This window comes from Homo sapiens, chromosome 10 (assembly GCF_000001405.40).
Source record: "Homo sapiens chromosome 10, GRCh38.p14 Primary Assembly".
Classification (NCBI taxonomy): Eukaryota; Metazoa; Chordata; class Mammalia; order Primates; family Hominidae; genus Homo; species Homo sapiens.
In genome coordinates this window covers 31,091,674-31,116,567 of record NC_000010.11, presented here as the reverse complement: position 1 = coordinate 31,116,567, position 24,894 = coordinate 31,091,674, and the positions used below count along the sequence as shown (strand labels likewise).

Here is a 24,894-nt window from a genome sequence, read left to right as displayed (position 1 = left end):
GGGAAAGTCATCATAATTTGGCTGACACCGACAGAGCCACAAATATGATCAGACCTCAGAAGGCCCAGGTGCAGTGTTGCTCAAAGGCAGTGGGCAGCATGCTGTCGCTGCAGGTTACTAGCTGGCTCAGAGCAGAACCCCTGTCAATGACTGGGTACCCAGAAGGTCAAATTCAACCACCAGAAACTACAGCGTGCATGGGCTTGACTTCTGGCAGTGTGGTGCATTGAGCTGACTCAGCCACCCCAACTACCCCAAACATGGAGAAGTGTTGGATGAAACAGAATTTTGTTTAAAGGTTGTTGTTGTTGAGATAAGGTCTCACTCGGTTGCCCAGGCTGGACTTCAGTGGCACAGTCATAGCTCACTGCAGCCTTCTGAGCTCAAGCAATCCTCCCATCTCAGCCTCCCCAGTAACTGGGACTACAGGTGCACACCACCACACCCAGTGAATTGTTTTTTGCTTTTTATTTATTTATTTATTTTGGTAGAGATAAGATGGGGTCTCCCTATGTTGCCCAGATTGTTCTCAAACTCCTGACCTCAAGCAATCCTCTTGCCTTGGCCTCCCAAAGTGCTGCAGTTGCAGGTGTGAGCCACCATGACCAGCTTGTTGTTGTTTTACTGCAAGTTAAAATCAAAAGAAAGGAAGGAAACTCCCACATATCAGAAGCAAAAAGTGAACTCAAATCAAAATTTGAAGCTACAGCATCCCAGGAGGCTAAAAGCTAGGCATTTAATTCCCATGCACAGAGAAGAAATATGGCTTGGAGTCCACTTAAGGTGAGGAGTTAGAGAGGGATCTCAGCCTAACGCCAGAACTCTTAAAGGGCTGCTGATCTATGAGAAGGGGTCCAGAAAACTTCACCCATAGCCTGTTAGGCATTAAAGAAGCTTTCTGGGTGGCCCAAAGCTCTAGGAAGGAAAAAAAATGCCTACTGTGAATAAAGTTAAAACCCAACTTTTCATTTCATGTGCAGGAGTGGACTCCAAAATTATACTACTCATGTGGATTCGGAATGCCTCGCTCAGGAAAGAATAGTCTAACTGGAGAATGTTTCATGTCCAGTGGGTGCTGCATAGAAGCAGGGCAGATGTGTCGCAGCCCACTGTATACGGACTCCAGAGAAAGCCCCCCTCCCCTGAAGTTGAGTTCCTTCCATATCTCAGACAGAAACTCATGCATGCACACTTACACACATAAACACACACATAACTCAAATACTGTGAGTGAAACAAAATCTGAAGATGAGTGAACGAGTTGGAAGAGACTACAATACAAGCATTTAAAAAATATAAAGTAGGATATAGAAATCATTAGGAAAGATTGCATTAAAAAAAGGTTTAAAAAAGAATCAGATAAAAATTATAGAAATAAGAACTGTAATCATTGAAGGTAAAAACACCGTGCACCTGTAAAAGAACAGTTTCAATGTAGCTAAGAAGGAGTTTACTGAACTGGAAGGTAGATCTGAGGGAATCACACAGAATGCTACACAAAAAGTTAAAGGCACTGGAATCCATTTTGACAAAGCCCAGGGAAGCCAAGAACAGCCTAAGAATACCAGCCTACGACAGCAGCCCCAACTCCAGGCCTGTCTACCAGCAGGCTAAGGTTCCTATCAAACCTGGCCAGAATTATTTCAGGAGCTAGACGGACCTGAACCTGAAAATTCAGGGCCCCAGAAACTCTTGGTGAAAAACCCTGGGGAAAAGGAAGCTATCTTCCAGACAGGCCTGATTTACCTGCCATTACCTGTTCTCTTGGTGCTGGCTGGTCCTGAGGTTAGCTCCAACCTTGAAAGGGAGAGGGAAGGGCCCATTTTCTCTCCTAGCTTCTTACCAGGCCTGTGATCCTCCAGCTAAGTAAAACCTTGCAGGCATTTCTGGGCTACCAGGGATGCTTCTTTAAGAGGCTTCCATGAGCTAGGCCATATCCCAGGAAGTGGGGACACATTGCAAGGCATTTGATAGACCTAGTTAGGAACCAGCAGAGAAGCTGGCTTATACCTCTGAGCAAGAGACTTAACAAAAGGATGGACAGTAGAATGCTAAATCTCAAGGTCACCTTGTGCAGCTTCTCACTGTGGAATCATCTTACAAGTAGTCAGTCTCTAGTTCCTGATCTACTGTTGGCCAGATCTCTGAAAACGGGTTGCTGTCTTACCCCTTCTAACTTTGACCTCCAATAACTGAACCACATTCTCTTGCCTGCCTCTCCCAGGCTCAATACTCATCAGTGGCCCCAGAGTGGCTGCAGCCCCCAGCTCTGATGTGGCCACATCCCAAGATGATGTTTTCATAGCCAAGCAGGATCTTCCCAGAAAGCAACCCCCCTACCCCTCTTTGCTTCTATCCTCAGAATCAGTTCTTTTTCTGAGAAACTCCTGACACATAAGAGAGGTAGGGGAGCATTAGGGGAAATACACTTGCAACAGAGGTCCTGGAGTAACTTGATTTGGAGGCTGGACATGAATTTTCACAGGCCCATTACTTGGAGAACCCCAGAGAGCTGCAGTTATTAGCATTTTGCAGAGATTTGAGCAGTGCACACTAATGGCCAAAGAATATAGTACCATTAACACCATAATGGTGCCGCAGCATCTCTGCAGACAGCGCTCCCATTGACTTCAGAGGCACCTAGACACCAGGTGACGTTAAAATGCTCTCTGCCTTCCTTCTTTGTTCAACAGGCACAGGTTCCAAAGCTGAATCAGCAAGAAAAGCCAATTCTGGGACAAAATGAGGACCTTTGTTATCTTAAATTACTTGCACCATCTAACTCCCTATACAAAGCATAATGTCTCTTAATAAAATAACCTTGCTTTCCATAAGTATGTAGTACATCATCATAGCGATGATTTTATTAAGCCACTAGAAGGTACCCTTGGAGAGTGTTAAAAGGTTGGCACAAAGAATGTCAATTTCGTAGGAGAAAGCTTAGTGTCCAGTTTTCTACCAGAAACTAAAATCTTGACTCCTCATTAAATGACATCTCAAGGCCAAATTTGTAGTCAAGGTATTCTTTATTAGAATTCAAAATAAAAGCCCAAAGAAATCCCTCTAGAAGGCAACTTCTAGCAAAGTATAATGAGAATAAAATATTCTCATTAAAATTCTCATAAAATAAAATAAAATATTTTCAGTTCAGTTTGGCTGCTGTGTTAACAGTCCCAAGCAGGAAGACAATCTATTTCCATTTGCTTCTCACTATTCCCCATAAAGGAGACCTGATACATTTTGGATCTGGCTTGCAGTCTTGATGCATGCACAGACATTTTTCTGAGGCCTTTTCGTGGCAATGCAGTCAGGGGCCTGGACCATTCAGAAGCTGGGTGGGATGGAGGAAGCACAAACCCCCTTTCTGTCGAGTGCCTTCTAGGACAGAGTAATGTCAATGACTCAGAGCTGCCTGGGCTTGGATCCCAATTTGACCATTTATCAGTTGTGTGACTTCGGGCATTTCACTTAACCTTTCTGTGCTCTGGTTTCCTCTTCTGTAAAATGAAGATAATAACAGGCTGTCTTGTAGATTTGTTTTGAAGATCAATGTATAATATCTGTAAAGTACTTACCTTGTAATAAGCTAATTATTAGCTAAGAGACCCTTTCTTCATTTCCAGAGCAAGTATACAATTTTACGTACCTAAGAGATGAATTCTTCCTAAATTCCATGGGCAGAAGAAGTCCTTTTATGGCTATGTGGCCACTGAGGAAGACACAGACATTCCCAAGAATACTTGGACATTCTTACCTGAAGGAATATATTTTCCTTAAACAAGAACATGACCTTGGTGGACTAGGGATGTAGTGTATAAGTGAGGACAATTTAAGCTGTCCTAAATGCAGGTTCTTCTGACACGTGAAGGTAGGATTAGCATCTCACTTGTAGTTACGGGGTCTTTAATAAACTATCCCATGTAAAAGTGACTAGCACAGTGCCTGACACAAGGTAAGGTAAGTACTTGATACATGGTATTTGTGCATGTGCCTTGATATGGATCTGTGCTTCCACCCAAATCTCATGTTGAATTGTAACCTCCAGTGTTGGAGGTGGGGTCTGGTGGGGAGTGATTAAATCATGGGGTGGATTTCTCATGAATAGTTTAGCACCATCCTCTTGGTGCTGTCCTTGTGATAGTGAGTTCTTGTGAGATCTGGTCATTTAAAAGTGTGTAGTACCTCCCCACTAACTCTCTTATTCCTGCTCTGGCCATGTGAGATGCCTGCTTTCTCTTCACCCTCCACTACAACTATAAGCTTCCTGAGGCCTCCCCAGAAGCCAAGCAGATGCCAGCCTCATGCTTCCTGTCATGCTTCATGTCAATTTTGTAGGAGAAAGCTTAGTGTCTAGCTTAGGTTCTGCTCATGCAGAACCATGAGCCAATGAAACCTCTGTTCTTTATCAATTACCCAGTTCCAGGTATTTATAGCAATGTGAGAATGGACTAATACATGCCTGAAGCTGTTGCACATAGCCTCCAGTCCAAAGCTCACCATGACCCATTGGAATCGGGGGCTCTGAACAATCAAGTGAAAGCTGTATAGAATGTGCTAGAGCTGCCTCTGTAGGCTCCACCTCTGGCGGCAGGGCACAGACCAACAAAAAGACAGCAGTAACCTCTGCAGACTTAAATGTCCCTGTCTGACAGTTTTGAAGAGAGCAGTGGTTCTCCCAGCACACAGCTGAAGATCTGAGAACGGGCAGACTGCCTCCTCAAGTGGGTCCCTGACCCCTGACCCCCAAGCAGCCTAACTGGGAGGCACCCCCCAGTAGGGGCAGACTGACACCTCACACAGCCGGGTACTCCTCTGAGACAAAACTTCCAGAGGAACGATCAGACAGCAGCATTCGCGGTTCACGAAAATCCACTGTTCTGCAGCCACCGCTGCTGGTACCCAGGCAAACAGGGTCTGGAGTGGACCTCTAGAAAACTCCAACACACCTGCAGCTGAGGGTCCTGTCTGTTAGAAGGAAAACTAACAAATGGAAAGGACATCCACACCAAAAACCCATCTATACATCACCATCATCAAAGACCAAAAGTAGATAAAACCACAAAGATGGGGAAAAAACAGAGCAGAAAAACTGGAAACTCTAAAAAGCAGAGCGCCTCTCCTCCTCCAAAGGAACGCAGCTCCTCACCAGCAATGGAACAAAGCTGGACGGAGAATGACTTTGACGAGTTGAGAGAAGAAGGCTTCAGACGATCAAACTACTCCAAGCTACAGGAGGAAATTCAAACCAAAGGCAAAGAAGTTGAAAACTTTGAAAAAAATTTAGACGAATGTATAACTAGAATAACCAATACAGAGAAGTGCTTAAAGGAGCTGATGGAGCTGAAAGCCAAGGCTTGAGAACTACGTAAAGAATGCAGAAGCCTCAGGAGCCGATGCGATCAACTGGAAGAAAGGGTATCAGTGATGGAAGATGAAATGAATGAAATGAAGTGAGAAGGGAAGTTTAGAGAAAAAAGAATAAAAAGAAACGAACAAAGCCTCCAAGAAATATGAGACTATGTGAAAAGACTAAATCTACGTCTGATTGGTGTACCTGAAAGTGACAGGGAGAATGGAACCAAGTTGGAAAACACTCTGCAGGATATTATCCAGGAGAACTTCCCCAATCTAGCAAGGCAGGCCAACATTCAGATTCAGGAAATACAGAGAACGCCACAAAGATACTCCTCGAGAAGAGCAACTCCAAGACACATAATTGTCAGATTCACCAAAGTTGAAATTAACGAAAAAATGTTAAGGGCAGCCAGAGAGAAAGGTCGGGTTACCCTCAAAGGGAAGCCCATCACACTAACAGCGGATCTCTCAGCAGAAACTCTATAAGCCAGAAGAGAGTGGGGGCCAATATTCAACATTCTTAAAGAAAAGAATTTTCAACCCAGAATTTCATATCCAGCCAAACTAACCTTCATAAGTGAAGGAGAAATAAAATCCTTTACAGACAAGCAAATGCTGAGAGATTTTGTCACCACCAGGCCTGCACTAAAAGAGCTCCTGAAGGAAGCGCTAAACATGGAAAGGAACAACCGGTACCAGCCACTGCAAAATCATGCCAAATTGTAAAGACCATCGAGGCTAGGAAGAAACTGCATCAACTAACGAGCAAAACAACCAGCTAACGTCATAATGACAGGATCAAATTCACACATAACAATATTAACTTTAAATGTAAGTGGACTAAATGCTCCAATTAAAAGACACAGACTGGCAAATTGGATAAAGAGTCAAGACCCATCAGTGTGCTGTATTCAGGAAACCCATCTCACGTGCAGAGACACACATAGGCTCAAAATAAACGGATGGAGGAAGATCTACCAAGCAAATGGAAAACAAAAAAAGGCAGGGGTTGCAATCCTAGTCTCTGACAAAACAGACTTTAAACCAACAAAGATCAAAAGAGACAAAGAAGGCCATTACATAATGGTAAAGGGATCAATTCAACAAGAAGAGCTAACTATCCTAAATATATATGCACCCAATACAGGAGCACCCAGATGCATAAAGCAAGTCCTGAGTGACCTACAAAGAGACTTAGACTCCCACACAATAATAATGGGAGACTTTAACACCCCACTGTCAGCATTAGATAGATCAATGAGACACAAAGTTAACAAGGATACCCAAGAATTGAACTCAGCTCTGCACCAAGCAGACCTAATAGACATCTACAGAACTCTCCACCCCAAATCAACAGAATATACATTTTTTTCAGCACCACACCACACCTATTCCAAAATTGACCACATACTTGGAAGTAAAGCTCTCCTCAGCAAAGGTAAAAGATCAGACATTATAACAAACTGTCTCTCAGACCACAGTGCAATCAAACTAGAACTCAGGATTAAGAAACTCATTCAAAACCGCTCAACTACATGGAAACTGAACAACCTGCTCCTGAATGACTACTGGGTACATAACGAAATGAAGGCAGAAATAAAGATGTTCTTTGAAACCAACGAGAACAAAGACACAACATACCAGAATCTCTGGGACGCATTCAAAGCAGTGTGTAGAGGGAAATTTATAGCACTAAATGCCCACAAGAGAAAGCAGGAAAGATCCAAAATTGACACCCTAACATCACAATTAAAAGAACTAGAAAAGCAAGAGCAAACACATTCGAAAGCTAGCAGAAGGCAAGAAATAACTAAAATCAGAGCAGAACTGAAGGAAATAGAGACACAAAAAACCCTTCAAAAAATTAATGAATCCAGGAGCTTTTTGAAAGGATCAACACAATTGATAGACCGCTAGCAAGACTAATAAAGAAGAAAAGAGAGAAGAATCAAATAGATGCAATAAAAAATGATAAAGGGGATATCACCACCGATCCCACAGAAATACAAACTACCATCAGAGAATACTACAAACACCTCTCCGCAAATAAACTAGAAAATCTAGAAGAAATGGATAAATTCCTCGACACATACACCCTCCCAAGACTAAACCAGGAACAAGTTGAATCTCTGAATAGACCAATAACAGGCTCTGAAACAGTGGCAATAATCAATAGCTTACCAACCAAAAAGAGTCCAGGACCAGATGGATTCACAGCCAAATTCTAACAGAGGTACAAGGAGGAACAGGTACCATTCCTTCTGAAACTATTCCAATCAATAGAAAAAGAGGGAATCCTCCCTAACTCATTTTATGAGGCCAGCATTATCCTGATACTAAAGCCGGGCAGAGACACAACCAAAAAAGAGAATTTTAGACCAATATCCTTGATGAACATTGATGCAAAAATCCTCAATAAAATATTGGCAAACTGAATCCAGCAGCACATCAAAAAGCTTATCCACCATGATCAAGTGGGCTTCATCCCTGGGATGCAAGGCTGGTTCAATATATGCAAATCAATAAATGTAATCCAGCATATAAACAGAACCAAAGACAAAAACCACATGATTATCTCAATAGATGCAGAAAAGGCCTTTGACAAAATTCAACAAACCTTCATGCTAAAAACTCTCAATAAATTAGGTATTGATGGGACATATCTCAAAATAATAAGAGCTATCTATGACAAACCCACAACCAATATCATACTGAATGGGCAAAAACTGGAAGCATTCCCTTTGAAAACTGGCACAAGATAGGGATGCTCTCTCTCACCACTCCTATTCAACATAGTGTTGGAAGTTCTGGTCAGGGCAATTAGGCAGGAGAAGGAAATAAAGGGTATTCAATTAGGAAATGAGGAAGTCAAATTGTCTCTGTTTGCAGATGACATGATTGTATATCTAGAAAACCCCATTGTCTCAGCCCAAAATCTCCTTAAGCTGATAAGCAACTTCAGCAAAGTCTCAGGATACAAAATCAATGTGCAAAAATCACAAGCATTCTTATACGCCAGTAACAGACAAACAGAGAGCCAAATCATGAGTGAACCCCCATTCACAATTGCTTCAAAGAGAATAAAATACCTAGGAATCCAACTTACAAGGGACGTGAAGGACCTCTTCAAGGAGAACTACAAACCACTGCTCAATGAAATAAAAGAGGATACAAACAAATGGAAGAACATTCCATACTCATGGGTAGGAAGAATCAATATCATGAAAATGGCCATACTGCCCAAGGTAATTTACAGATTCAATGCCATCCCCATCAAGCTACCAATGACTTTCTTCACAGAATTGGAAAAAACTACTTTAAAGTTCATATGGCACCAAAAAAGAGCCTGCATCGCCAAGTCAATCCTAAGCCAAAAGAACAAAGCTGGAGGCATCACGCTACCTGACTTCAAACTATACTACAAGGCTACAGTAACCAAAACAGCATGGTACTGGTACCAAAACAGAGATATAGATCAATGGAACTGAACAGAGCCCTCAGAAATAACGCTGCCTATCTACAACTATCTGATCTTTGACAAACCTGAGAAAAACAAGCAATGGGGAAAGGATTCCCTATTTAATAAATGGTGCTGGGAAAACTGGCTAGCCTTATGTAGAAAGCTGAAACTGGATCCCTTCCTTACACCTTATACAAAAATCAATTCAAGATGGATTAAAGATTTAAACTTTAGACCTAAAACCATAAAAACCCTAGAAGAAAACCTAGGCATTACCATTCAGGACATAGGCATGGGCAAGGACTTCATGTCTAAAACACCAAAAGCAATGGCAACAAAAGCCAAAATTGACAAATGGGATCTAATTAAACTAAAGAGCTTCTGCACAGCAAAAGAAACTACCATCAGAGTGAACAGGCAACCTACAAAATGGGAGACAATTTTCACAACCTACTCATCTGACAAAGGGCTAATATCCAGAATCTACAATGAACTCAAACAAATTTACAAGAAAAAAACAAACAACTCCATCAAAAAGTGGGCAAAGGACATGAACAGACACTTCTCAAAAGAAGACATTTATGCAGCCAACAGACACATGAAAAAATGCTCACCATCACTGGCCATCAGAGAAATGCAAATCAAAACCACAATGAGATACCATCTCACACCAGTTAGAATGGCAATCATTAAAAAGTCAGGAAACAACAGGTGCTGGAGAGGATGTGGAGAAATAGGAACACTTTTATACTGTTGGTGGGACTGTAAACTAGTTCAACCATTGTGGAAGTCAATGTGGCGATTCCTCAGGGATCTAGAACTAGAAATACCATTTGACCTAGCCATTCCATTACTGGGTATATACCCAAAGGACTATAAATCATGCTGCTATAAAGACACATGCACACATATGTTTATTGCGGCACTATTCTCAATAGCAAAGACTTGGAACCAACCCAAATGTCCAACAATGATAGACTGCATTAAGAAAATGTGGCACGTATACACCATGGAATACTATGCAGTCATAAAATTGATGAGTTCATGTCGTTTGTAGGGACATGGATGAAATTGGAAATCATCATTCTCAGTAAACTATCGCAAGGACAAAAAACCAAACACCACATGTTCTCACTCATAGGTGGGAATTGAACAATGAGAACACATGGACACAGGAAGGGGAACATCACACTCTGGGGACTGTTGTGGGGTGGGGGGAGCAGGGAGGGATAGCATTAGGAGATATACCTAATGCTAAATGACGAGTTAATGGGTGCAGCACACCAGCATGGCACATGTATACATACGTAACTAACCTGCACATTGTCCACATGTACCCTAAAACTTAAAGTATAATAATAATAAAATTTAAAAAAATTAAAAAAAAAAGAAAATGTTCATTAAAGCTACTGGCTTGCCCCAATTATAAACTAAAAAAAAAAAAAAAAAGAATGTGCTAGAGCTAGGGCTGAGCCCAGGGCTATGGGGCTGCATGGCCAATGCTTCCTTCAACACTCCTGTTTTTCACCTCTTGGTATTTTGAGAGCCTGCAGGCCTCCTAATCTGTTCATAAGACGTGGCCACCTTATAGCGCTAGGGTTTTTACAGCAAGGTGGCTGGTACCTACCTGAGTGGCTCCAACCTCCAGGGCTTCAGCATTGTCAGGCTGGAGGGCTTCTTAATAAGGGATCACCAACAAGGAAGAGCTGTTCCAAGATCCCACGGTGTTTCAGTCCTCCAAACCCGGACCCCTCAAAGCACCTCATGATCAATAGTGGTGGGGTCGGGGGTGGGCGGTGAGAAATCAACTGCTCCTATAAAATGTTTTAAATACACTAATTAGTGGGCCAGCCATTATAATGCAACCAAACCCCCTCAAACCTCACATAGCAGGCATTTTGTAACATTGTTGATTCAGGTTTTAACTAGAGGGGTTTTTCCTCCCTTCTCCCACTTGCTGCTAATCTATGGAATTCATTAGCTCCTATTCATGATTGCAAATCACTGCAGTGACCTGTGACAGGGTTTCTCATTTAAGATTACTGAAAGACCTAGAAGGGCAGGATGATCCAGCAATGTGGCTTTCTTGTTATTCTAAACAAACAAATAAAACCATGAGATCAGAAGATAGCTCCCTAAATATCTCTATGGAACCTACATTTGCATTTTGTAATTTCCAGAGGAAAAGCACTGGTGAGTTTCAGGTTGTGGTTGCATTTACAGATGGATCAACCCTGGAAGCAGGTGACAGACACTGCTTGGCAGTGATACTTTTCAACGCACAGAGGATTTTCTTTTTTGTTTCTTTCTTTTTTTTTTTTTTATTTGAGATGGAGTCTTGCTCTGTCGCCCAGGCTGGATTGTAGTGGCGCGATCTTGGCTCACTGCAACCTCCACCTCCCGGGTTCAAGTGATTCTCCAGCCTCAGCCTCCTGAGTAGCTGGGATTACAGGTGCGTGACACCATGCCACCTAATTTTTTTTTTGTATTTTTAGTAGAGACAGATTTCAGCATGTTGGCCACACTGGTCTCGAACTCCTGACCTCGTGATCCGCCTGCCTCGGCCTCCCAAAGTGCTGGGATTACAGGCGTGAGCCACTGTGCCTGGCTAGCAGGAATATCCCGGCCTTCAACACAGTATTTCTAAACACTAAAGGAGAATGCTGGAGACTGTCTTCCCAGATAATGATACTATCTTAACTTTGGAGAGTGCTTTCATATTTACAGAGCACTTTCACAATGTCTTTTTTTTTTTTTTGAAACAGTGTCTCGCTCTGTCACCCAGGCTTGAGTGCAGAGGTACACTCATAGCTCGCTGTAACCTCAAACTCCAAGGCTCAAGCAATCCTCCCACTTAAGCCTCTTAAGTAGCTCAGACTACAGGTGCATGCTACCATGCCCAGCTAATTAAAAAAAAAACAGCATTTTTAGAAATGGGATCTCACTATATTACCCAGTGTGTCTCCAACTCCTGGCCTCAAGTGATCTTCCAGCCTCAGCCTCACAAAGCAGTGGAATTACAGGCGTGAGCCACTGAGACTGGCTACTTCCACAATGTTTCTTACTTGATCCCAGACCCAATCTGGGTTGGTGTGAAATGTTTCATTTCCATTAACAAGTGCAATGACATATTGGAAGGAAAAAAAGGTGATGTTGGAGGTGAACAAAAGGAAGACAGGCAGGCCTTCTTTACAACACTGGCCTTTCTGCTTACCTGCAACCTACCTGTGGGCCAGGTGTGCCTAGTGGGCTGGGGCATGGCATCGAGAGCAGAGTTCTTCTTGCCCTTTAAGAAACCATTCATTTGGCTTTCTTGCCAAGAGAGCTTTCTGACCTCAGAGGGATACGTCTTTTACTGCCTGCAAAGGTGTTTTACTGACTTGGGTTAACGTCCACGGGGACTCATTTGAACTCGTGCTTATCGGGGAGCCAAATAGTCCACATACCGCAGCGGAGAGTGAGGGGCTGGAGAAAGCATTACAGGCCTGGAGGGGCCTTAAGGAGGCATAAGGCATGGAACCCTCCCCCAGCTGTGGATGTAAACAATCCACAGGTGGAAATCTGGCCTAATTTTTTTCTTTTTCTTTTTTTTCTAAACCTTTCTACAGTGTTGATTTTTTTTCTTTTTTCTTTTAAAGACAAGGTCTCACTCTGTCACCCAGGCTAGAGTAGTGCAGTGGTGCAATCATGGCTCACTGCAGCCCCTAACTCCCAGACTCAAGCTATCCTCCTTCCTTGGCCTCCCAAGTAGCTAGGACTACAGGTATGTGCCACCATGTATAGCTAATTTTATTTTACTTTATTTTTTGTAGAAATGGGGTCTCCCTATGTTCCCCAGGCTGGCATTGAACTCCTGGCCTCAAGCAGTCTTCCCACCTTGGCCTCCCAAAGTGCTGGGATTATAGGTACGAGCCCTTCACACGGCCTGGCCTAAGTTTTTATTTACAAAAAAAAATCTCTAGTCAAGGAGACACCCTGCCTGGCCTTAGCATTGTGCTCTTGCTTGGGTGGACTTTGCTGCAAATGCTGCAGAGGTATCCACACCGTGAGGCTGGGAGAAAGAAGTAGGAAGAGGTGAGATAGGGCCGGGAGCCAGAGGAGACCCAGCTCAGAGGCCGCCTAAGTGTGACAAGGGGGCAGTCAACAGCCTGGATAACTGCTTTCAAAGCAGAGCAGAAACTCCGGCGTAACCCCACAAGAATGAGCCTTTTTCTCCGGGTTATTGAGCAGCTTTCTGATGGTTCTGCTTCCACCCTTGTGCTTCTCCAGGGCACACGTCAGCCACAGGAATCCTTTTAAACAGATGGTGTCACTCCTTTTCTCCAAACTGATAGATCTGATGGCTCCTGGCTCACTCCATGAAAGCCCAAGTCCCTCTCAGGCCCTGCAGGCTTCACCTTCCCCCGGCCTGTGTCTGGGGCCCCATCTCCAGCTGCCTCCTTGCATCTGCTGCTACTACTGCCTCCTGCCTGCTCCTCCACAGCCAGCCTCGTTCCCATGAGGGCCCTGCACTAGCTGCACTCTGTCAAGAATGCTTTTTCCCTGGAAACACACAGGTCTCTTGTCCTCAACTCCTTCACATCTTGGATCATATTTCCCCCTGTATTCTATTTTTATTTATTTTTTTAAGAGACAGGGTCTTGCTGTATCACCCAGGCTGGAGTGCAGTGGTGCAATCATAGCTCACTGCAGCCTCACACTCCTGGGCTCAAGCCATTCTCCCGCCTCAGCCTCCCGTGTAGCTGAGACTACAGACATGCACCACCACCCCTGGGTACTTTTTTAATTTTTGTAGAGATGGGGTCTTGCTATGTTGTCGAGGCTGGTCTTGAACTTCTGAGCACGGCCTCCCAAAGTGCTGGGATTACAGGTAAGCACAATGACGCCTGGCCATATTTCCTCTTCTTAAGGCAAAATGCCCCCCAGCCCTCCTGGTCTCCATCACCCTGTTGCCTATTTTTTCACAGTGTCATTCATTTTTTAACTTCCAAATTTACTCATTTATTATATTCATTGTCTGTCTTCTTCCACTAGAATGTGAATTCCCCAGGGACAGAAACATCTTTGTCTTGCTTACAGAAACATCCCCCATGCCAGGTAGCACTGGTTGAGTAAACGTTTGACTTGGAGGTATTTGTTCCAGCAGGCTGGATGCAGAAATGACGGTTCTCAGTTCCAGACTGTGGCTGCTCCAAGATATCCAGTGTTCCATTCATGTTGGAACAAGACCCTGATGGGAACTACAAATGCCCACATCAGTGTCTGGGCTTCTGGGAGAGGGGCTGGAAATGGTAGACAGGGAGTCTGGCTCCAGCTAAGCCAGCAGAGAGTTGTTTCAGCAAATCGGAGGCAGAACGCCACTCCTATAGGCTGCAGGGATGGGGTGGGTTGGGGTGGAGTGAGGGCTTCAGGACTGGCGGGAAAACATAAGCCAGGGTTCGGGGGTAGCAAGGCTCATGCTGAACCCCTGCACTGCCCACGATAGGTGACCTCAAGTCTTGCCCATCCTGCTCAAGATGGGCCTAGCACTCAGCAAGGAACCCTAGGATACCCCAGGTTAAGGTCTTCGGGGCTCTCTAGGAAGAGTCAGGGCACAGGGTGCCAAACCAGTTACATAATCTGTAGGGCCCAGTGCAAAATGAAAATATGGCGCTCCTTGTCTAAAAGTGATTGCGAATTTTAAGATGACAAAAGCAGGGCATTAAACCAAGTGCAGGGCCCTCCCGAGCCCAGGGCATGTGTGACTGCATAGGTCACATGCCCACGAAGCTACGCCTGCTCAGGACTGACGGCACTGATGGCTTTTCAGAGATATTCCTGCTGGCCAGGCACAGTGGCTCACGCCTGTAATCCCAACACTTTGAAAGGCCGAGGTGGGCGGATCACCTGAAGTTAGGAGTTTGAGACCAGCCTGGCCAACATGGTGAAACCCCATCTCTACTAAAAATACAAAAATTGGCCGGGCGTGGTGGCACATGCCTGTAATCCCAGCTACTTGGGAGGCTGAGGCTAAGGCAGGAGAATCGCTTGAACCTGGGAGGAGGAGGCTGCAATGGCTGAGATTGTGCTACTGCACTCCAGCCTGGGTGACAGAGCAAGACTGTCAAAAAAAAAGAGAGAGAGATTCCTGCCAGAAAATTTCTCATAATAAATCCAGCTCACTTATGCCCAAGATGTGCAACATAAGGAAACAAGGAAAGAAGCCCTGGGGTGTAGCGGGAAACAATCTCAGAGAAAACCTAAAGGCACCCAAAACTGAAACCCTGCAACTAGCAAAAGGACCTGATGTGTTGCAGGATGGGGACAGCTGGGAGCAGGGGCAGAACGGTGACATCAAACAACCAAGGTGGCCTCTGGGGCTGTGTTCATGTCCATGGGAAATGAGCCACCAAGAGTCCAGCACATTCTTCATTCCAAAAGTGGTCAGTGACCAGCAAGAGGTAAGCAGAGAAGTGGAAGCAGGAAACTGCAGTTAGAAAAAACAAAGCTGGGTTGAGTCACACGGTTGTGGCTTGAAGTGCTGGGAAGCCCAGGGCCTTTCCCCTTGAGTCAGCTGAAGGGGTACACGTTGCTACCATGACCTTACTAACAACACTCAGTAGGTGTCTACAAAGAAAAGCCGATGCTGAGCCAGGTACCACCACCTTTCATTTGGATGGCACCTTACAGTTTAGAAAGTGCTTTGATATGCATAATGACTTCAGTTGATTCTCTCAATAACCCTATTAGGTTAGCAGAGTATCATTGTCCCCAGATAGGTGGACTGACTCGCCCAAGGTTGTTGGCAAAATCCATTCAAGTCCAGCACTTTTTTCTTCTCTTCCATAATGCTCCTGTCACTGGTGCCTGCCATCATCCCGGAGTTCATGGCCCGAGACTGGCAAACGCCGGCCAGGGCGTTACAAGCATCCATGTTGACTAATTGCACCCAACATCCCAATATCTTGCCAGTGGTACAAAAGGAATAGGTGAGCTGCTGGGCTGTGCAGCACCTACCACATCCTCCAGAAAAGGTAGACGGTCAGAGAGATTGGGCATTTCTTTCATACAAACATCACAGGAGCTGCTTTTGGGAATCGTCTGTTAAATGTGAGCTGCAGATTAGACCAAGATGAACAGAGGGTTGTGATCCTGAGTGACTTAGTATTTTGAAGCAGCCTGTTAACCTTTTATCAGAAGGATTCCTTCAAAGCATTAGTTTACGGCACTAAAATGTGGGCAGATTATTTGCCAAATCACATTGTTATGCACAGCTAACTAACTGCTTTGCAAAAACTGGTACCTGTGGATGCACAGTCAATGGCTTTGAGTCAAATATGTCAATCATTAACATTTTCTCTAAAAATTAACAAGTGCAATTAGCATGTATCAATGAAATAATTGCTTGAGTTCACTATTTTTTTAAGCTGAATCTCCATTTGAGTCACACAAAAAGAAAATGAATCTTAAAATCATTTCCATTTTAGCAGAGGCACATGTTAAAAACAGCTGAACTTATTTTTCCCTCCTCAATTTCTGCAAAATTCACTCCCAGGTTTACTTACTGTGCCAAGTTTCAGAGCTGAGCAAATTTTTATGGTCTAGTTATAAACCCTAGAAAAACAAGGTTTATAGGAAATGTTGACACAACCTTAACTAAAGTGGTGCTAGCTGACACCTCTATATTTTCAATTTGGGGATTTCTACTGGGAAAGTATAAACGCTAATTCAGCAAAGGAAGCCAACTATAATAAAAATGTTGTAGTCTTCCTGTTCACCCCATGAAGTTCTACTTCAAAAGATGCCAGTGCAACGTGGAGGTGAGTTAGAGTTAGAATGATCAGCATGGAGAGCACCTGCAAATCGCTCAGCCTCCTGGTTACCTATAAACTTCGCCTGGGAATGCATGACCTCACCATGAGTCACGGCTGCCCACAGCAGTGCAGTCGGAGAGACGGCGGAAGATGTCAGGTCTTTACGCAAAGGTGTCTACTAGTCTCTCCCTGCACACCTTCTAATCTATCCTAAATGGAAACCCAAGTTGATTTTTCACAGGCCAGTAAAGCGAGCCACTGAGACACTGAGAAGCTAAGAAGATGGGAGTGAAGGCACGCCATGGAAGGTTGACTTTGAGTGCGGTGGGCTCAGACTGTGGTAGTAGTGGGGCACCAGGTGTAAGGGCACACTGAGACATCGGGAGGCAGGACCAACAACAATGAGGATTTCCCCCATCCTGCTAAGCTGCCCAGATGAGAAGCACATGTGTTCAATATTTAGGCTTTAATTTTTTCCCCTCTGAAACAGGAGGAGGTGGGAGAAGGGGTAGCTTTGATTCAGGTCCAGAGATAAAGACTGACTGACACACACACGGACCATAATAGGGGACAAAGTGAGTTAAGCGGAAGTAAATGTTTTAAAATCCTCAGCTAGATAGACTAAACAGCACTGGCCCGGGAGTCAGGAGACGCAGCTGTCTGTCTGTCCGGGCGTTCCCACTTATGAACTGAGACTCCAGGCGGTCTGAGTGGCCTCCCCACGTCCTGTCCCAATTTCGTCACTGGTGAAATGGAGTTCAGCCTCTGTTATGGGACAGCGGTGAGGAATAAGTAGAGTTATGTCCCTGGAAGTGGTTTGTGAATTGTAAATTGAAAGGCAAATGGGAGTATTACTTTGTATTGATTGCATTTCTACTTTGGAAAACTATGTTCAGAAAATGGAAATATTTTCTTTTTTTTATTTTACTTTAAGTTCTGGGATACATGTGCTGAATGTGCATGTTTGTTGCATAGGTATACATGTACCATACCATTCAGGACATAAGCATGGGCAAAGACTTCATGACTAAAATACCAAAAGCAATTGCAACAAAAGCCAGAATTGACAAATGGGATCTAATTAAACTAAAGAGCTTCTGCACAGCAAAAGAAACTACCATCAGAGTCAACAGGCAACCTACAGAATGGGAGAAAATTTTTGCAATCTATCCATCGGACAAAAGTCTAATATCCAGAACCTACAAGGAACTTAAACAAATTTACAAGAAAAAAACAATCCCATCAAAAAGTGGGTGAAGGATATGAACAGACACTTCTCAAAAGAAGACATGTATGTGGCTAACAAACATATAAAAAAAGCTCATCATCACTGGTCATTAGAGAAAAGCAAATCAAAACCACAATGAGTTACCATCTCACGCCAGTTAGAATGGCGATCATTAGAAAATGGAAATATTTTCAATGGAGGGACAAATCCATCAGGATAATGGGGATAAGAAAAAAGCCTCCCTAGCATTGCTTTTAGTTCATTCCGAAGCTGATTTGGAAGGGAATTCACTGCTGACAACTTTGCTTTTGTGTTAAGTCGAATAGTCTGCTTAAAAGGCCCTTTGGGTTACACCCCAAATGCCATCACATATGTCTAACCTTCACCAGCTCACAAGGGACGACTAAGTTACATATCTTCATGAGCAGAAAGTATTTTGGATTATGTTTTTGTTTTGTTTTCTCCCAGGTTTCTAAGCCTGTTGGCAGCATTTTCCCAGGGAGTTTTCAAAAGCTTTCACAAGAGATCCCCATACCACTGGCAGAAAGGCATGAAACTTACTTTAAGACAAATGCTTAACTTCTGTGGACCCTGGTTTTTTATTTTCAGGTTGAAAAGGAAGACAGTGAGTTTCTAGATGTATCTGTCAAGACTAAATGATTGTTCATTTCCTCTGAATTGGGAATAACGTAATAACATGCAGCTGGGGAGCTAGGCTGTGTTTCTTGCGTTTTCCTCTTTCAGAAGCTGGGTCTCTTACCAGCTGGGAAATATTACTGTCTGAACGTGCTGAAAAACTTAGGGTAAATGAAAAGAACAACAACATTCCAGATGTCAGCAATCACTCTGATGGTCTTACCTGTACCAACCCGAGAATATTTTAATAGAAAAGGTAGACAAAGATTTATTTAATTCAGAATGAACTCCAGAGTTGGGGAGAGCGAGTTTATAATGCCTCAAAAACCCCTGCTGTAAAATTGAGCTGATAAGAATTAACTCTGCAAAAATTATGCATCCCAATGACAAGGTAAGTTTGAGAGAAACAATTGAAAATAATAAAGTATTTTCACCCAAGAGCAACAGATTTGTACAAATAAAAGTATCCATGTCTTGCTAATGCAGCCATTACCTGGAACGAAATAAATAAAATAAAACCACGCGTACTTTTAATGCTGAGTTTAGAACTGGAATTCAGCAAAATGAATCCCAGACACTTACTTTAAATGCATGCTTATATCTTTTAGTGTAATACATTTTGCTCAGTGTTTCATTAGCCATTATACTATATATTGTGATTATATCAGACATTAGATGCCGAGAGACAGAGCCAACATTTCACTTCAGGTAGCTCTCATTCCAGCTCATCATCACAATTAATTAGAGCAAGAGGAGGTAGGGTGGAGGCGGAGAGATGCTATTTGGGTCTCCAGCTTTTTCTGGAAAGGTAAGGAAGGAGAAGCTATGGCAGTGGGCACATCTCTGCCAATAGAATCTTAAAGCACCATTTCCCATGGACCCAGGCCTGTGCATGGAAGATAAGAAACTTAGGTTTGGGATAAGTGCAGGAGTGATAGGGCTAGCCTGGATCCCCATGAGCCTGTGGTTCTCAGCCCTGGCTAGGGCATCAGAATTACTGGTAGAATTTAAAATTAAACAACTGAATCCTATCCAGACAGGATAAAGCTCGGACATCTGTGTGTTTAAAACAGATTTTTTTAAAAAATTATTATTTCCATAGGTTATTGGGGAACAGGTAGTGTTTGGTTACATGAGTAAGTTCTTTAGTGGTGATTTGTGAGATTTTGGTGCACCCATCACCCAAGCAGTACACACTGTACCCAACTGGTAGTCTTTTATCCCTCACCCCCTTCCCACCCTTTCCCCCTGAGTCCCCAAAGCCAGTTGTGCCATCCTTATGCCTTTGCATCCTCATAGCTTAGCTCCCTCTTACGAGTGAGAACATACGATGTTTGGTTTTCCATGTTTTTTTAAAAAATTAAAAAACTACAATTGGTTCAGAATGCTGAGTCGTGTTGAAAACCATAGGCAGGTGGTAGTTGAGAGTAAACTAAAAGGTGAGTTTGACAGTCTCACCCTTTATCTCAGTCTCTTTCATCTTGCACACATCTCTCCCAAAATACAGCTGCATGTCCTGAAGTATACCAGAGAGACGTAAGATGATGAGGATGACAATATTACTAATAAAATAACGCGAACAGTGCTGGAGTCCTTCTGGCACTCCTCCCCTACCTGACAAAGCACTTGAACATCCATGATGTTATTTCACCCTCACTCCCCTTTCTCTCCCTCAGCGCTGGGAAGCAGACACTGCAGAGATCATCATCCCATTATGCAGATAAGAAAATGCCACATCCTGCTAAATCCCCTAACAGCATGAATGGGCAGGCTTACCCCCATTTCTCATCCTTCCCCAGATGCAACTCCTTACACCTGACAGCTGTTTTGCACCATCCCAGGGCCAGGAGGCAAGGACTTTGCTCCCGTGTGATTTTCCACTCGTGTAGCAGAGCAGGGAGAACCCAGCAGTCAAACACTTAGCTCTCAAGTAGACTGTACATGAAGAGAAGTAGCCTTGGGTTTTGTTTTAACCCTAAAGGATTGGCTTACGTCCCAGTATGTATGATAGATTTTTGGCTCTCCATTTTACACAAGTCTTTTTCTTAAGTTAACACATCATGCTTCCCTTGTCTATTTCATTGTTTCCTGGGATTCAACAGAGAAGAGAGAGGAGAAAGTGATGCAGTAGGTACCGCCGAGCAGCATGTCTCCCCTGGCATGCCTGTTGGAGCAAGCAGCATGGTGGACTGTTCGCCTGCCAGCTTCTTTTACATCACATGATGTAAGTGCTCCCCTGGTTAAGGATGGAAAAAGAGGCTGAGAAATCTTCCAGTCATGTTTGGGTTTATTTCTCTGCCACCTGAGTAAGTTTTCAGTAACCTTGGTCTTATGATTCAATTGTTCCGAAAGAAAAAAAGAATGATCACAGCATTGAGGGGTGATGGATGTTTAGAGCTGAAAGTTACCCTTCTCTGGGGAAGATTTTGTGAAAAATAGACTTGAGGATAAAGAGATTACAAAGCTTGGCCCTACAAGCTGTGCTTTTGCTGATACATTTGTCTAAGTTCCTTCATATCTTATGTTAACCTTTTTTTTTTTTTTTTTTTGAGACGGAGTCTCGCTCTGTCACCCAGGCTGGAGTGCAGTGGCGCAATCTCACCTCACTGCAACCTCTGCCTCCTGGCTTCAAGCGATTCTCCTGTCTCAGCCTCCCAAGTAGCTAGGACTACAGGCGTGTGCCACCAGGCCTGGCTAATTTTTGTATTTTTGGTAGAGATGGGGTTTCATCATGTTAGCCGGGCTGGTCTTGAACTCCTGGGCTCAAGTGATCCACCTGCCTTGGCCTCCCAAAGTGCTAGGATTACAGGTGTGGGCCACTGCACCCAGCCTACATCTTATGTTAACATTTAAAAAACCCAGCTCCCTAGATGAGATTGTCTTTTGGAAGTGTGTGATGTTATAATAGCTACCACTGTGGCCAAAAGTGGAGTGTTAAAACATGATAAATCCATCTCCTCTCAGATCACTATTTCAGAGACTGATAAAAACAGATTGTATTTTTTGGTTTACGCTATCATACAAAAATATATTTACAAAAAGTATAACTCAAGTTTTTAACCCAGTAAGCTGATCATCCATTTTATCATACTTTTCCTTTTATATATGTCATGTAAAAGGTTGATGGCCATGTTTAAATCACATCTGGTTTTCTAATAGCATATTGAAAAACATATTTTTTTACAGTAATACAAAGATATTTTATAGAGAGTTGAATATATGGAATGTAACTAACCTTTTAAACCAGGTATGTAGAGCTACCCTCTGGGAAAGAAATGGCAAATGGGTTTCACCTGAGCACCAGCCAAATGGCAGCTCATTGAAGTGTTATCTCGAAAAAGCTGTTCTGGGCTCAGCAAGAAGGGGTGCCAAGATTGATTAGTGATGCCGGCCATGGGAGAAGGACCAGCGTTTGGAGACCTGTGCACCATTTGTTTGCCATCTTGGCTATGAAGGAAAGAGGAAATACACCTGCTGGGAAATGTACATTTCACTGGGACCTAAGACTGTTGATATGTATAAAGAATTACTTTGATGGATGGCTTTTGCCAGAGCAAAGACTTGATTGATCATTTCAAATAGTTATAGATTTAAGAGCATTCTTTAAGATGTTTAATGCATAGCTGTGTCTAAAAGTGCAAGGATTATTCATTTTTCTCAACACGCTTACAGTGTTATTTGAAATTCTGGAATCGAGTCTGTCATTGTTACAGTAGTGAATGTCAGTCATGATCTTCCAATTATGTAAGCAGCTCACAAATAAGGCTTTTTCCTTGAATTCCATCAGCATTTGGGAACACTTCAGCCTGGTCATTTTCATTAATGTAGTTTTCATTGCACTCAAAGCAAATGTCATCATTTACACTAGTGATTATGATGCCCAAGGGGAAGCCATAAAGCCTGTCATATTTCTAAGTTCCTAATCTTAGAGAATTAGTGAGGATACAACTCCAGCAAAGTCATTTGTTTCCTGTTAAAGATAATGTAAATGGAAAAGCAAATGGGGATCATCCCTCTGGAGAAACCATGAGCTTGAGATGATTAATGTTGCAAAGAAATAACTTTCTTATTGAATAAATGTTCTTTTCATCAGAGTGAGTTCTATTAAATTGCAAAATTTAATTTCGGGTGGAAGAAAACATATCTCAATTATATCATAAATAGTGACAAATTTAAACATGTCTTTAGCCTATTGGCTACCAAAGATTTATCATTGTAGATCATTTTCATGTGTGTTTTTTAGTTATACACTATTCGTTTTATTTTTCAAATGGATGGACACTTTTATTGTCTACGGATTGGGTCCTTGAAGACATGGATTCACCAATAAGGGTTTTGGTTCTGGTTAACTTATACAGCCAGGCAAGTGAACAGACATGAATGAAACCCTCCAAGAATTTATTTGTTTCTACTACCCCTTTTCTCCCTTAGCGAACAAATCCATTCTCTGGGACCCTCAGCAAATTCATAGTCCAGTGTTTCCAGCAGCCATCTAATCATGATTTCATCACCTCCTCTGAACCAACATGAGCCCAGCATGAAGTCTCTTCTAACTCACACTCTTCTCCCTCTCTCCATAGGCATTCAAGGCATGAGGTTTCTGTTGTTGCTTGGTTTTGTTTTTTTGCTTTTGCTGTAAATTATGAAAGTGGCTTCCTTGAGTTACAGGAGGAAACAGGACATGATTTTTCCAAATTCTTACATTGCTCTTGGGAAAGGGCATGTGATCTTTCCTGCTTCCACATATCATTAGTCTTCGGTGATCTTGGGGACACCAGCCTAGAGCCATATGGGAGGTAAGGAGTTCCTCCTTTGGGATCATCGTTTTAGAAATGGGTGTATTCACCAAAGTGGAGAATTGTAACTTACGTACATGTGGGGCCTCTGGGAGAAGAGATGTGGAAGATGATTTGTCTTTATTCAACCCTAGTGGCCAGAACAATAGATCCTCCAAAAATAAATAAATAAAAAGCTTTCATTTATGTAGATATTCTAAGCTGAGTGGGTAGAAAGTGATCATTTACTCTCATTTGGCAGAGCCTCTGCCTCCTTTTTTTTTTTTTTTTTTTTTTGAGGCAGGGTCTTGCTCTGTCACCCAGGCTAGAATGCAGTGGCACAATCACAGCTCACTGCAGCCTTAACTCTCAGGCTCAAGCAATCCTCCCACCTCAGCCTCTCAAGTAGCTGGGACCACAGGCATACACCACCATGCTCTGTTAATTTTTAATTTTTTTTTTGTAGAGTTATAGGTCTCACTATGTTGCCCAGGCTGGTCTTGAATTCCTGGGCTCAAGGGATCCTCCCACCTCAGCCTTCTGAAGTGGCTCTGTTGGGATTACAGGTGTGAGCCACCAGCACAGCCTTCTTTTAGAGCCTGTGACAGGACTGCTTGTTGCCTATACGGCATCCATTCACTCTTGTTACCAATAATGTGCCCAGTGAAAAGACTTTATTGCCTGGACTGCCTTGCAGGCGAGGAGGGTGAGGGAGCACTGAGATATAAGCCTATGCTGTTGGGTGGAACTTTTGATATTTGATTATTCCTGCACTACCTCAAGAGAGAAATTTCTCCTTTCATCCCCTGTCAATAGGTTGTTGAGCCCTAAAAACCGGTCTTAGTTCATGTTCCTGCAATTGTAAGGCTTGCCCTTCTAGCGAGTAATTTGTGAAATGTTATTGGGAAATGGCGGGGGGTGGGGGGAGTCTTTTCCTGTTAACACAGCAGCATATAAAACACAGATGGGAAGATCCACTGAGGAGCATACTAATTTAAATCTAATTAAAACACATTGCCTTGAAAACATTTAGGTATGATAAATCCGAGTGTGAAGGTCACAAATTTCACCACTGTAGGTATCAGCAAGGAAAAATGTTGGCCAGGTTCGGTGGCCCACACCTGTAATCTCAGCACTGTAGGAGGCTGAGGAGGGAGGATTACTGGATGCCCGAAGCTTGAGACCAGCTTGGGCAACAGAGTGAAACCCCATCTCTACATAAAATTTTTTTAATTAACTGGGTATGGTGACACACACCTGTAGTTCCAGCTACTTGAAAGGCTGAGGCGGGAGGATAGCTTGAGCCCGGGAGTACGAGGTTTCAGTGAGCTATGATAGCACCACTGCACTCCAGCCTAGGTGAAACAGCAAGACCCTGTCTCCAATAAATAAATAAATAAATAAATAAATAAATAAATAAATAAATATATAAATAAACAAATAAATAAATAAAATATTAATCACCTAATAGTTACTTATAGCAATAGTGCTAGGTATAGGGAATAGAATCATAAGCAAGAAAGATATGGTCCCACTCCTTCTGGAGTTGACAGTCTAATGGGGAAGACATACAATAAAATAAGCAGGCTGGGCAAGGTGGCTCATGCCTGTAATCCCAGCACTTTGGGAGGCCGAGGCAGGCGGATC

General features: G+C 43.1%; 1 long non-coding RNA gene across 3 annotated transcripts in view, besides 2 other annotated features; it reads right to left on the bottom strand.

The window, feature by feature from the left end:
* Window positions 1-24,894, bottom strand: part of LOC105376481 (uncharacterized) — a 123,422-nt gene that overhangs the window by 39,362 nt on the left and 59,166 nt on the right. For 2 of the 3 annotated variants that reach the window (XR_001747409.3, XR_930796.3), the window contains exons 2-3: window positions 10,443-10,629; window positions 3,008-3,497 (exon numbers count right to left, since the gene is read on the bottom strand). This is a non-coding gene — a long non-coding RNA (uncharacterized LOC105376481). Of the gene's footprint in view, window positions 1-3,007; window positions 3,498-10,442; window positions 10,630-24,894 lie in introns of those variants that run through there. The other variant, XR_001747410.3, reaches the window with a different exon arrangement.
* Window positions 11,457-11,576: an enhancer, noted in NCBI's record as "active region_3234". NCBI's record gives its function as "activates an Ori minimal core promoter by ATAC-STARR-seq in GM12878 lymphoblastoid cells {active_cell/tissue: GM12878}" and the evidence as "EXISTENCE:reporter gene assay evidence [ECO:0000049][PMID:35858748]".
* Window positions 15,172-15,231: an enhancer, noted in NCBI's record as "active region_3233". NCBI's record gives its function as "activates an Ori minimal core promoter by ATAC-STARR-seq in GM12878 lymphoblastoid cells {active_cell/tissue: GM12878}" and the evidence as "EXISTENCE:reporter gene assay evidence [ECO:0000049][PMID:35858748]".